General features: G+C 34.5%; 1 long non-coding RNA gene across 1 annotated transcript, besides 1 other annotated feature; it reads left to right on the top strand.

Moving 5' to 3' along the window:
* The first annotated feature begins 1,420 nt into the window (after window positions 1–1,420).
* Window positions 1,421–14,012, top strand: LOC107986625 (uncharacterized). The gene is made up of 3 exons (XR_001744261.3): window positions 1,421–1,723; window positions 4,216–4,258; window positions 13,767–14,012. It is a non-coding gene; the product is annotated as an uncharacterized LOC107986625 (long non-coding RNA).
* Window positions 9,730–9,899: an enhancer, noted in NCBI's record as "experimental_96913 CRE fragment used in MPRA reporter constructs". NCBI's record gives its function as "activates a minimal promoter by MPRAs in K562 erythroleukemia cells, with activity observed for both the introgressed and non-introgressed 6:93035616 variant alleles {active_cell/tissue: K562}" and the evidence as "EXISTENCE:reporter gene assay evidence [ECO:0000049][PMID:34662402]".
* Window positions 14,013–14,294: the final 282 nt, after the last annotated feature.

Genomic DNA, 14,294 nt, shown 5'->3' with positions numbered 1-14,294 from the left:
CATCCAGGCCACCACACTAGAGAGTGAAAGGGCATGCTATTAATGATTACTCTGAAACAGTGGACATAAACCGGTACTGACCCAGGGAAGACCATATGTATGATAACTTTACTGTTACCTGGTTTAAGCATTCAAATTTGACAGATGGAAAAGGAAGAGGAGAGGTGGGATCAGGGATAGCTGAATACATAATATAAGGATGCTGAAACAGATGGAATTTATAAGGTATAGCAAATAATTTAGTATGACTGACACATGGAAGTATGGATGTGGAGAATTGAAAGAATAAAGGTGGAGATTGTCCTTTCAGCCCTGAAATAGCACTTTATTGTACAGATAATGAATAAACATTGAGTTATTTTAATCATGGGTGTGACATTATCAAATTTGCATTTAGAAAGATAATTCTAGCTGGTTTGCATGTTAGAATGTTGAAAACCTACATGGAGAGAGTTGACTATAGTAGTCCAGACTAGAAATGATAAAGATGTCAATTAATCAAGGGTCTGTAAGAATGAAAAGGAAGTGTGGGATTGAGAGTCATTTTGAAAATTGATTTAATAAGATTCATTGCGCTATTTGATGTGCAAAAATTAAAGAAAAGGAAAAGATAAAACTAACCCAAGTTCTAGCTTGGATAAGTAAATGAGTGGTGATTAAGATAAGGAATACACGACCCACCCTAATGTCTTCATTTTAATCACCTCTTTAAAGCCCTTACCTCCAAATACAGTCACACTATGAGAAACTGAGGGTTAGGAATTCAGCAAGTGAGTCTTGAGGAGATATTAAACAAACCCACAACACAGATAAAGTATGCATTTGGGGGACTTCCAAGCCAGAGGCTCCCGTGAAAAAGGTAAACTGAAGCAGGTATTATGCAGCAAAAGGAAATAGAATTACAAACTGAACGTATGTGGGTGAGGCAAGGCAGGGTGGGGCAAGGCCTTTGGGTAGGCTGATAACAGGGTTTTTCAACAATAAATCAATGGGAATGCGTTTGTTCCTCCCAGGACCCTGGCACCTTGACTCCGGGACTATAGCATGTCAGCAAATACAAGCAAAGCCCAACACTCTGATTTGCATTTATGCCAATCTAAACTATCTGGTGTTTAGTTTGATTTTTTGAGTGCAGGTTCATTCAAGGACCAGGTTCCCTTGTGCTCAGGGTGAAGTAGAACCAGAAAACATTGTTATCCATTCCCAGAAGTTTTGGAAGAGCCTTGGTAGAAAAGCAGAAGCTGCTTTGACAATGAAAATATTTGATTCCTGTCAGTTTTTGGTCAGGAGCGGATATCCACCTAGATCAACCCGAGGAGAAGGCTCGGAGAACAGATATACCCCGAGCAATGTGATCAATGTCCTTGAACCTTCATTCTTCATCTGGAAACAGAGATATAAATGCCTGGCTCACAGATTTAAATGTTATATATTGATAGCATTCATCAGTATAACATTTATTTAAATAAGTAGGTGCTCAATAGGTGTTGGTCTTCTAACTTGTCTACATCCCATCCCCATTCCAGGGTCTTCAGAATTGAAGGAGAGATGTTGTATCACTGTTAGAAGGCTGCTTTGGGAAATTCTGCAGCAGGGAGGAGGGATTGTCAACCCCTACACCATGACCACCAAGTTCCTCACCTTGGTTGAGTCCCTAAATCTCTCTGAACCTCAGGTTCCTCCAAGTATAATGCAGACTTCACAGAGCTGTTGTAAACATTAGGTGAGGTCAATTGATATTGCTTAAAAGACCTGGTCCATAGGAGATGCCCAATAAATATTACTTCCTTCCCCCTCACCCTGCTGCCTGAAAAAATATTACACCTGTGAGACTGACTTTGAGGACCAGTGTGGGCAGAGGGTTGTGCATATAAACTATTTAATGAGTACCAAATACAAAAGTCAAGCTGGTAAAATATCAGGCCTTGCCCCAGAAAGGCAAATACCACATGATCGCACTGATATGTAAATCTTAAAAAGTCAAACTCAGAAGCAGACAGTAGAATGATGGTTATCAAGGGCTGGGGGAGGGAGGGACTGGGGAGATATTGGTCAAATGATACAAAGGTTTAGTTAGGTGGAATAAGTTCAGAAAATCAATTGTACAATATATCAATTATAGTTAATAGCAATATAACATATACTTGAAAATTGCTGAGAGTAGTGTAAGTGTTCTACCACAAAAAAATGTGTGGTAATGGGTGTTAATTACCTTAATTTAGTCATTTCACAATATGTACATATATAAAAATATGTTGTATGCCATAAGTATATATAATTATTATTTGTGAATTTAAAAAATAAAAATAATTTCCAAAATAAAAAAAAAGATGAGGAATACAAAGTAGGAACAGGTTGGGAGAAGAATGTAATAAACTATACCTTAAACACAATTTATGTGTTTGAGATGTTGCTAGAGAAAGCATCAGCAGATGCCACGTATGCAAATGTACATTATTGAATGAACACCCTGGGTTATTTGAAATAAAAGAAGATTTATGACACTGTCTTTATGCTATGTTGAAACAAGAGATTAGGAATGTATTCTACATTACTTGCCCACAATAAATATCCTTTAAACAATAACTGTCAATTGCTGGTATAATGTACTTTTTTTTCCTGTGAGAAAAGAATGGAAGTTTTTAACAAAAATTATCTTTAAAATGCCACTTGGCATAGACTCATACTCTAGTAAATAGCTTACTTTCCTTCCATAGACAGAGAGCAAAAAATGAATAAATATTTGTTAAATTGAATTCAATAGATCTTGATCGAAATAAATGTTCAAACTAAGGGGAGAACAACTGGGCAGAATAAGAAGGGATAATGTGAAAGAATCCATTTCTTTTCTTTTTCTGTATTCCAAGCCTATGCTGGATGATGTCTGTGGGAGTCAGGAAGGGTATGATGACAGATAGCACCACCTATGTACTCAGCAATTGCTGCTCATATCAGGTCCACCAGGTGGTCACAGAAAATGTACAGAGCAGAACACACCAAAAAATTCCAAATGCATTGGTCCTTTCTCTCTTGGACTTGCAGAGTGTCTGAGAGAAGAAAGTTGTTTTCTTCCAAACCAAGTTTCTTGGCTCTCAGCTGTAGGCAAAGTATCACAAGATATAAATTGCTTTGGAGTATCTGATACTATGTATTCGTTAAGGTAGATACTTGGCATTTTAAAATTATGGTTTGAAGTACTGCATATACTTTGAAATTTTACTCTATTTCTCTCAAATATTTAATTCTCTTTCATTAACTTAATTGATCCATTAAAATATTTAAATATTAATCTAATTACCTTAAGGTAGATATTGATTTAAAACTAAAAAAGAGGCACAGTTTATCCACAATGAGAGCAAGGTCATTTTTGTTTTGCTAAGGAGTTCTGACCCAGTGAATTTTTTTAAATAAAATACTAATGGGCTCTGTCCATGTGAGATGTCTGCTTAATTACTTTTCTGCCAACCCACTGGTTTCTGGTCCTGAGAACCATAGATGCTAATGCTGACTCTTTGAGAACAATTTTACTTCCTGCCAATGATAACATAGATAGGCAGGTGGCCCCATGTCCCCCTATCCATGATGTTCTCCCTGGCGGATCATTTCCAGAGATAGAGACTATAAATTATTGCCAAATACTTGGAAATACGTATGTCTATTTTTAAAAGTTAGCTACATTATTTCAATTCTGCTCTTCTACTCTTAATTAGCATTAGCAATCAGTGTTCTTTCTTTGCTCTCCAGAAGACAATGTCCTTCTTTCCAAGACAAAGTCTGGGCACAAAAGCATGTACATCTGTCACATCCAAGTCATATTAAAATGATGTAGGAAAGTCTAAGACTGGCAGAGAGCTGTAATTGGAACAGAATGCTAGTATCCCAAGCTGGGGTTGATGCTGGCCACTGACCCAAAATTGCTTCAATTCTCCTTTAACTTTGGCTACTGGTTAAGAGTACACCTTTCTTCTGTGATATGTAAAATAGAGCAATTAATAGGATGAAAGTCTGATGATGCCTAGATAAATCCTTCTTGAAGCCTGGAAAGCATAGACAAGATAAAGAAACAAGAAGAACTTTTCTCTGTTGTGAAATTCCAGTCATCATGTAGGTGTAAAAATGAAACAATTTCATATTTAGATTTTTTTTTGCTTTAAGCACAGCAAAATTCCACTATTTTATTTATTTTATTTTATTTATTTCTTTTACAACGTTTAGGTGGAAAAGAAGGCATTTGAAAACTTGTTTTTTTTGAAAAAAGGTAAGTACTCTCATATTTCTTTTGAAAAGTGTTGAGGCTACGGGCAAAGCAAATAATTTTCAAATAGCATTAATCTTTTAAAAAACTGTTATTATGAGCCTTAACATAGACACTGAACCTGCACATACGTGGTTATGTATGTATACCTCATCCCAAAATGAAAAAAAAAAAGCAAAACAAAACGTGGATTCAAATACTTGTTATATTCAAATACTTGTTATATTCAAATACTTGTTATATTCAAATAACAGTTGTTATTGTTAGACCTTTAAATTGTTTCCAGTTTAAAATGATAAAACGGCCGGGCGCGGTGGCTCACGCCTGTAATCCCAGCACTTTGGGAGGCCGAGGCAGGCAGATCACGATGTCAGGAGATCGAGACCATCCTGGCTAACATGGTGAAACCCCGTCTCTACTAAAAATACAAAAAATTAGCCGGGCGTGGTGGCGGGCGCCTGTAGTCCAAGCTACTCTAGATGCTGAGGCAGGAGAATGGTGTGAACCTGGGAGGCGGAGCTTGCAGTGAGCCCAGAGCGCGCCACTGAACTCCAGCCTGGGCAACAGAGGGAGACTCCGTCTCAAAAAAAAAAAAAAAAAAAAAAAAAAAAAAGATAAAACAACATGATCTTTATTTGTATTTAATCAGCCAATATCAACGCAATAATGGGTTTGAATCATCAAGTTCTAATTGTCCATTAATTCCTTTTATTCTGAATTGGATAGGCCAAAGCTTATGCTTTTTCTAATGAAGAATAAGCTAGTTCACTGGAAATCATGAAAAAGAATAAAGATTTCAAATCACTTTTTTGTGATGTCATTTTTACTCTGTTGAAAAACTACACTTTTGGAAAGTAGAAAACAGAAATTTCTAATGATCTTTCTATTTTCACTCACATGTAATTTTTCCTTTTTCTTTTTGGAAGCTAGTGAAAATACGAGTTTATTTGAACAATTTGGTCTAGTAGCAAGCAGGTGGGATTCTACTGGTACAATAAACATAATACTTAGGAGAAATTCCCTGAGTGAATTGATAGGAATAATTAATTTGTGTATATATGTGTGCACTAATGTATTTGTGTCTAGGACCACATGTGTTCATATGTATACATAGCAGTAATAACACCAATGTCAGCATAACATCCATGTGTCACTGTATTCATGCTACTATTAGTACTGAGAAGAAAACACATGTACAGATTTAATCTATAAACTGGTTTGCAAAGATTGTCTACATCTTCATTTCTGAAACTTTTTCTCTTATGAATTATGACTAAAGTCCTGGCATCAGAACAATCAGAAATAATCTAAAGTATAATTTACTTATTTTTCTTCATTGTTTTAGCAGACAAATGTGATTTCCAATCATATGTGAAAGTTGTTCTGGAGATCCATACTAATGTACTATTATCATTAAATAAAATTGATGCCCAGGAAGATTAGCCATGTTTATATTGGGATCTGCAACTCAACATGTAAATGAATGTGTAGTCTAGAATCAGAATAACTCCTCTAAATGATTTAAATCTATATATTAGCTGAAGAAGGAAAAAAGTTGTATTTTTGGCTAATGAAATTGCTTGACGTTTACTCTAAAATCCACGTGGCGTTTATTCAAAAAACCCTTTCCAGAAAGTTATGAGGTTTCAAAGGTGCCATTGGGAAATTGTAATTCCTCAGAGTGCAAATACATTTTAGGAGAGGATACTAATTGGTCAGTGTGAATTCTGGTAATAGTGTATGCTGGATCAAATGTCTGCATTCCCAGCCACTTACTAACGTCAACTCTAATCAACAGTCTCAGGGCTGTTTAAATTTTTACCATTGCAATCATCAAGGCTTCCCTCTTTCCTCTCGTTTATTTACATTAATAATGGAACCTTCGTTGCTATGCTCAGAGTGAAATATTCTTCTCAGAAACAGTTTATGGAGCCAAACTCCTTTTCAGTGTCAAGTAGAGCTCAAATCATTGACTCATTGTTTTTGTTTTTCCAGATAATATCAAACATATGTCCAAGATAATATATAGTGAGCCTGCTCAGAAAAAAATCTGACTGCATTTAGTGTGCGAAGTTTGATATCAGACGTCAGAAAGCACGTATTTTCATGTTGGGCAGTTGTTGGGTATTTGTGCATAAAAATGATGGGAAGAAAAGATAACTTATTCACTGTCTACGTATTCTTCCAACCATAACTCCAAGGGATAGTTTTATATTTATAGTACAATGGAATCTAATTATTAAGTAAAAAGAGTAAGTCATTCAATAAAATAGGTTCTTTGGCAGAATTATTGTGCCAAAAAAGTGAGTGACAATGAAGCAATATAATTTCTAATCATTAGTGATTGATCTTATTGTACATCTCCAAGTGAGTCTTTGCCATTTTTCATTTAAATCTATTTACTCAACTGTCACATTCTGAGATAAAATGGTGTCATTTTATCATTTGCATAAGGATATGATAGGGAATATACCATAGATATGCAAAAAGGAAGTGAAAATTGTGTAACTAGTAAATTGGAGAAATTTTAGATGTTAAATTTTAATCATTTAGAGAAAAGCACATCTCTGCCATAAAATATCTGAATATTTCTTATATCTTGATTCAATTAGGTTATTCAGACAAACCTTCATTATATAATAGAGCTCTCATTTACATTTGAGACCTGAGGCAAAATTAATTTTTCTTTCAGATGGTATATAATAAAATCCTTCTAGTGTTGTCTTTCTGTAAGTCCCTTTAGAAAAATGATCCTGGGAGAATTTCAAACTTCTTAAAATACTTGATGGAATAGATGAAACCAAACCCTGAAGAATTAAAGATAGTCAGTTAGCACATATGTCAGTATTAAATAGCCCCAAGAAATTAAAGATCAAGTGTTGAATTTGACAGATATGAATTTCTTAGAAATGTGGAGAAAACCTGAAAAGAGTGGTATTGCTTTTCATTGGAAAGTTATGAAATGAAACTTAAAAAAACTACCTTAATCATTTCTCTCTATATGTAATATAGTAAGAGAAGAGACATGGAAATTGCTATAGGCAAATCTTTCTGCTTTTGACTAAGGAGAAAAGTATGTCAACTCGGTCAGAACGAAATAGTTAATGTATTCAAAAAACAAAATAAAAATCTGAAGTGTCTACATAAAATCTTTGACCTAATTTTTAAATCACATAAATATAGGATTAATATATAGGTAAGTAAAAGGCATTTGAAATCTGAGTATCTTTAATGTAAAGAACTAATTGTGCACTCATTAGGGCAATAAAAGTGATCAACCTTACAAATGCATTGCATTCTAGATAGTAGTAACACCATTGGAAAGCAAACGAGCTCTGATAGATTTTATCTAGTCTGGATGGTACAACCTAAGCACAAAAATAATTGATAACTTAAAGCTCAGAGTTCATGTATCAACCCAAAGCAGGGGAAATGTTCAGTGAAAACAATTTTTCAATAAATATTTAGGTCGTAATTCTCAGTTTCAGATCAGGTAAGGATTGTGAGTCCCATGGATTCTAGTGAGGTAGATTGTTTTCTAATACACGTTAGCATGTCCATGCAACACTGCTGTAGGATTACTGCTTTGGCACTGAGCAATTCACTCATAAAGGTTGCAGCATTATCCTGGGCAGTCAAAGCTACTTGAAACAGGTATATATTTTATAGAAGTTTGCACCAGATAATTGTGGGAGGTTGTCCTTTGATCTACAATCTAGGCAGTAGTGTCTCTTAGCAGGCCTCGTGATTAGGTAAGATATCTAGTAACACCAACTTAAGTTTTCATCCAGAGGGCTAAGAAAAAAATTGTTAGGTAGAGACTGACACAAGAAGGATCAATGACTGTGATGGCAACAGATATAGTAAACATATAAGTCTTGTGGAAATAAATGGAACATTCATCAGAACTATCAGATGCTGAATTGAGAATGGTGTAATTGCATGTAATATAATAGAATTCAGCTATCCTGGTGTAGGTCCAGGAAGACTTTATACATAAACTATCAATATTAACAATACCAATAGACTGTAAAATCTTTGTATTCCCAGCAAATAGCTTACAGCCCAGCATACTGCATGTCAACTGGAACCATTTTTAAATGAATGAATTAATGAATGAAGAAAGGAAATAAAAAAGAAATGAATTTGTATAAAAATATTTTGTTCACAGAATCATAAATAAGAAGAAAATGCAGAATAATTATACCTGACTGGGAAAAATTTTCATCCTATTAATTTAATACCACTTCATAATTCTTAATACGTGTGAACTATTTTCCTCCATCTGACATGTTTGCCATTAGTTGAAAACTATGGGTTAGATGCCTGAAAATGTTCTGAATTAGCATGCAGATAAAATATGTGTTTTAGATTAAAACTATGTATCAAATTAATATGTATCATCCACCAACAATTATATTTGATTAGTCATCCCACATAAGAAATATCGGGGAATTGAATAAAGCAGAGCACTTTGTTGTGTGATTCTCTCATTCAGCTCAATTAAATATAATTTCTACTTTGTGGCAGTATGTAAATAGTAGGATAGGATCAATGGTGATTCCTTAAAAGAATACATTCCAGAAGCTTTCAGTGTCAGAGCACTCTGATACTAAAATAGAATTCTGAGGTGAATTTAAATGGAGATGTATAATCATTACTAAGAATTTTAGCTACAAAATGCTCTTATAGAACAACAAAACAAGTAAATATGTTGGTAAATTTGCAACTGTGTTACCTTTTTACAGTGCTTTGAAGCAAGGTTTTTATTTTGGTAACATTTATGATCATCTAAAGTAGATGGTTAGATAGTTCAATCTAAAATGGATAGTGAAATCTCTAAACTTTATTTGAATTCTAAGTTGAATTCAAAATAAGGGATCTGGCTGGGAGTGGTGGCTCATGCCTGTAATCCCAGCACTTTGGGAGGCCAAGGTGGGCGGATCACGAGGTCAGGAGATCAAGACCATCCTGGCCAACATAGTCAAAACCCTTCTCTACTAAAAATAGAAAAATTACCTGGGTGTGGTGGTGCATGCCTGTAGTCCCAGCTACTTGGGAGGCTGAGGCAGGAGAATCGCTTGAACAAGGGAGTCAGAGGTTGCAGTGAGCCGAGATCATGCCACAGAGCGAGACTCCATCTCAAAAAAAAAAAAAAAAAAAAAAAAAAAAAAAACAGAGATCCAGATTCATACGTGGTTAGCTTTTATCTGTAAGTTTACTGCAATTAATTGTAATGCTACCTATTATATTAACTTCAGGAGGAACTCAGAAAATAGGGGGCTTTAGAATTTGATATAATCAAGGTGGAAAAATACCTATAGATACCACCAAAAATTGTCTCAGGACATTTTAAAGAACAGGATTAAAGGATATATTTTCTATTTGAATATTCTTTAATGAACACCTTCAGAAAATAAATGAAAGATCTGAATTTAAATTCTAAGTCAAAGAGCAGTATAAAAATGTTCCTTACTTTATTATAAAAGAAATATCTGGCCCTTGGTGTAAGTGGAAAAGGGCATAAGTATCCATTTCTATTCAAGCTTAGGAAAAGTATGAGAAGCATGTTACTGAGCATGGAGGAAATGCAAATCAATTTACACAACTGTTTCCCTTCTATTTCCTGTCCTCGGGTACTCCATGGACCTCTAGAAGATGACAAAAGTAGTATTATGATAGAATTGACAAGTCTAGGTAACTCATTGGCTACAGGGGGCAAGAAGAAAGAGGAATGGAATCAGAGCTCTGATATTTTGATTAAGGGTTAGTGGGTATGTGTGGGTAGGGAAGTGAGTGGGAGTAGTGTGAAGGCACACTATTTATAAAAATAGAGGTTGGAGGAAAAAGGTGTGAATTTGAAGTTAATGAAGTAGCATTTGAAAATTTGGCACTAGGGCTCAGAATAGAAACAGGAGTTAAATATATAAATTTACAAGGAAATTATTCACATAGCAATGATAAGTAAAGCTATGATTTTTGGATAAGATTTTTAGATAAAGGGGAAATTTTAAAAGGAAGATAAAATTGGCATGAAATTATATGTTTGAGGAGACTTACATTTAGAACATTTTAAACTACAGGGAAAGCAGAGATATATAAGTAGGAAAAAGCAGTTAATAATTGAAGAAAATCAAGGAGAAGCCAATGGATGATCTGTTTGAAGGGTAAAATTCAAGTAATGGAGTGGGTAAACAACAAACACTGAGGGGATGGATCAAGAGGAGATAGACAATGAAGATGAAAAAATAGGGGTATCAGCCATGAAGCAAAATGCTGAAGGAGACAGAAAGGGAATAAGCCCTGGTGTGAGTAGAGGACCATTGACTGATAATGGATTATAGCAGATGCAGATTAATAGATAAGGGGAAAACGTGAGGTGGAAAGGGAAGTTGAAGATATTCTGTTTTCTCCTTAAATGAGGATCTAGAATAGAACGGATTTGGAAAAGTGATATAAAAAGAAGAGCAGCAGTAAGGGAGAGATGCAGGAAGCTTCTAAAGAAAGTCAAAGTGCTTATAAATGTGGTGGGAATTGGCCTCAGTTCACACAAGTTTCTTGAAGATTAGGCAGACTGGGAGCAGGACCAATAAACATGACATTAGTGTGATGAGAGCACAGAGGCCCAAGGGAAGGAAAATCCTAGTAAAACAGTTACAAAAATGGTATCAAAAGTAAAGCCTAAAAGAGAAGCAAGGACAGCACAGGGAGATTTTCAGTCTCCAAGGCCATGGTAGCAGTTCAGCGTTGGAATAGGCCCTGGTTTCTGGCACTCTTTCCTTCATTTATTAAGTATTGATACATACACTAAGTAGTTTAATTTTAATGCATTAAAAGTATGTTGACGGTTCTTCGGCTATGATCTTATTCTACCTGGTGAAGGGAAATGTTGAGTTCTCCAAAGAGCCCCTTTAACTTTTTCTTCTTTGTCTTTATTAGTATGTGGATGTAACTGAAAAGAAACTAAAACAGAGAAAATGAAGTCAAACACTGTTTCTCAGTTTATAGTGAAGACAAAAAAAAAATCATGAAACAGCACAATACTATTATTCTTGGAGTGGAAGTCTAACTTTCTGCTAAAGATACTCATGTTTTCTGAGCTGATAGAATTTTCTAATTTTTAGAAGTAATTTCATTCATATATCTAAAATTGAAGTTGTCTTGTCTTAAAGTGCCTGAAGGGAAAAAAATAGGAAGTATTTTTTTGTTGTTGTTTTTCCCCTGACAGACTATTTCACTTTTATTGGCTGCACCATTTGGGGAATATTTGATAACAAGGCAAAACTCAAAGGGGTGAACTTTATTACTCTCATTTATTTTGCTCCAGGGTCAAAGAGAGTTGAGCCATTTATCTCTGTAGTGTACCTTCTACACACACTCATACTATGGGCATAGACTCATGGGCCTATGTAAGAAGATTGACACTGCTGAGGAAAAATTTTGCTTAACACCATAACTACCAAATCATTGACCCATAGCCCATTATTAATTGGTATAACAAATGATTAACAGACTGATTTAGTAGAAGGTAGTTAAAAACTGTAAAGCACTCTGGAAATAGTCACTAAAATTAATTTTATAAACCACGCTTAATACTTGTGCAAGGAAATAAATCACTTTTAAAACTGGAAGACTTTAAAACTTTTTGTACATTGGAAAACAAAGGTCAGAGAAAATAAGCCATTGACTGCTAACAAATTATAACTAGAATACAAATCTTGTTTCCCACAATAAGCTTCTTTCTATAATCCTTTAAAAGTAGTGATAATTCTAAAGTAATAATAATAAAGAACATTGTCAAGTTAATTATCCGTGAACTATCTTAATGAAGTCAAAACCCACAATCAGAGTAATCTTTATCCAAACTAGTAAGAGTATCCAATATCATTTAATTTTTCTTTTTGTTATTTCTGTTCTTGTTAACAGCATGATTTTTAGTGTTCTCAATATCTATCAGTATGACTTATTTTATTCTCACTTTTGTACAGCATATGATAGATTGAATTTCTCACTTTTGTACAGTATATGATAGATTGAATTTGTTCTTTATTTTCTATAACTATTAGGTAAAATCTAAGTTAAATTTCCCCAAAAAGGGATATTAGTTAGTTAAGTTACCAGTTATGACCAAACTAATATTATTTTCCAAGTTGTTAAAATTTTTACTGGAAATAGGGAAATTTCTAATTATCAATATTAATGAAGCATATATATATATAGTCTTCATTTACATATATATAAAATCATCTAGTCATCAATTACAAATGGATGGGATCTTAGAATTTCTTTACCAAACATTCTTTAATTTTTGCAGTTATAAAAATTGAAGAGTTTAAATTGTTTCCTAGTCTAACCAGACTGGTACCATATTTGGCATTAGAACTCAAGCCATATAATTCTTCCATTAAAGTTTCTTAAAAAGCATATATACCCAAACTTGAAAGCCCTTTGACTTACTGTAACCTGTATTTTACCTACTTACATATGACTCTTTGAACATTTTGTTCCATTATCTGTCTTTTGTAGGGGATGAGAATAAGCCCTTAGAAAACTACTATAATGTTCTGGACTGAGCTTAGCACTTTGCTTACAGTTAGGATTTTTAAACTGTTGAAAGGGTCTCTGATACCCTTTTATTCCATTTTCCAGGCATAGAGACAGAGGCTCAGATTACTAAACATGACCCAAATAATGTGGATAATAATATGGCACAGAAGTTCCCACCAGATTGTTTCCACTTCAAAGCACATTCTTTTGTTCCCCTCTGATGAAATAACTTCTTCCATCTCCTCTATAATCTCCTTCATTGTAATTGTTTATTATGTAATATTTCATGGCCCTAATGTTTTCAACCATGAGCATCTTCTTTGATTCACTAAATATGCCTACTAGATCAACCTATGATCAATATTTTTGGACACTTTTATTATTTTTTTGAGGAGTATATGTATTTTGCTCTATTTTCCAGTGGCACAAATATTACCTCATTAGAAAAGGTGTTCAAATTTTACTCTTCATTTATTGAAAAAACATCTTGCATAGAAGTACTATAGTGATACTGAGTTATTAAAATCTCATCCTAGATAATGTATGAGAATTAAACCAAAAGCCCTGAGAACTTGTCCTCACTATTGGGTGACAAACCAATGATTAGACAGAGATTATTCTGAGATGAATCTGTAGCTCATTCTTAAGGAAAATCGGCTAAATTTTACATTATGGCAATTTAGTATTTTTAAAACATTTAAGATTATATTTTATGGGATTTTTGTTCATGAGGCATTCTCAAATACTACTTCATAAATTTTGTAAAATCCATTTAACAGATAAATTAACAAGTAAATGAGGTGCATGTGTGTAGTCAAAACAAGTACAAATTGCTCAAAACAAAAATTTAAAGGCTTTGAGTATTTTTACTTGTTGTTTACTCAACAGTCTAATGAGTTGATGGTTTCAGATCAGTTAAAATGGTGCTGCAGGGGAAAATAAATATTTCTTCTTTTCATCTTAGATTTATGGCTGAGGCTTCTATGACAACAGACAGATTAACTAGAGGAAAGCACACACCAAACAGGAGCCTTCAGAAATGAAGACTCAAAGACAGAGGTAAACTTGTGTATTTTTGTACTAAGTCTGATGAAGAAGTGGATAATTGTTAAGAAGTATGATTGGAGGACAGAGGGTAGAGTCTATTAATAATAAACTTGGAGGAGCTTAAAAAGTCCTGTTTGGGCTGGGTGCGGTAGCTTATGCCTGTAATCGGAGCACTTTGGGAGGCCAAGGCAGGTGGATCACGAGGTCAAGAGATGGAGACCATCCTAGCCAACATGGTGAAACCCCGTCTCTACTAAAAATACAAAAATTAGCTGGGCCTGGTGGCACATGCCTGCAGTCCCAGCTACTCGGGAGGCTAAGGTAGGAGAATCGCTTGAACCCAGGAGGCAGAGGTTGTGGTGACCCAAGATCATGCCATTGCACTCCAGCCTGGGCAACAAGAGCAAAACTCTATCTTAAAAAAAAAAAAAAAAAAAAAAAAAAA

Source organism: Homo sapiens, chromosome 6 (assembly GCF_000001405.40).
Source record: "Homo sapiens chromosome 6, GRCh38.p14 Primary Assembly".
Classification (NCBI taxonomy): Eukaryota; Metazoa; Chordata; class Mammalia; order Primates; family Hominidae; genus Homo; species Homo sapiens.
This window is presented reverse-complemented; position numbering and strand designations above follow the sequence as displayed.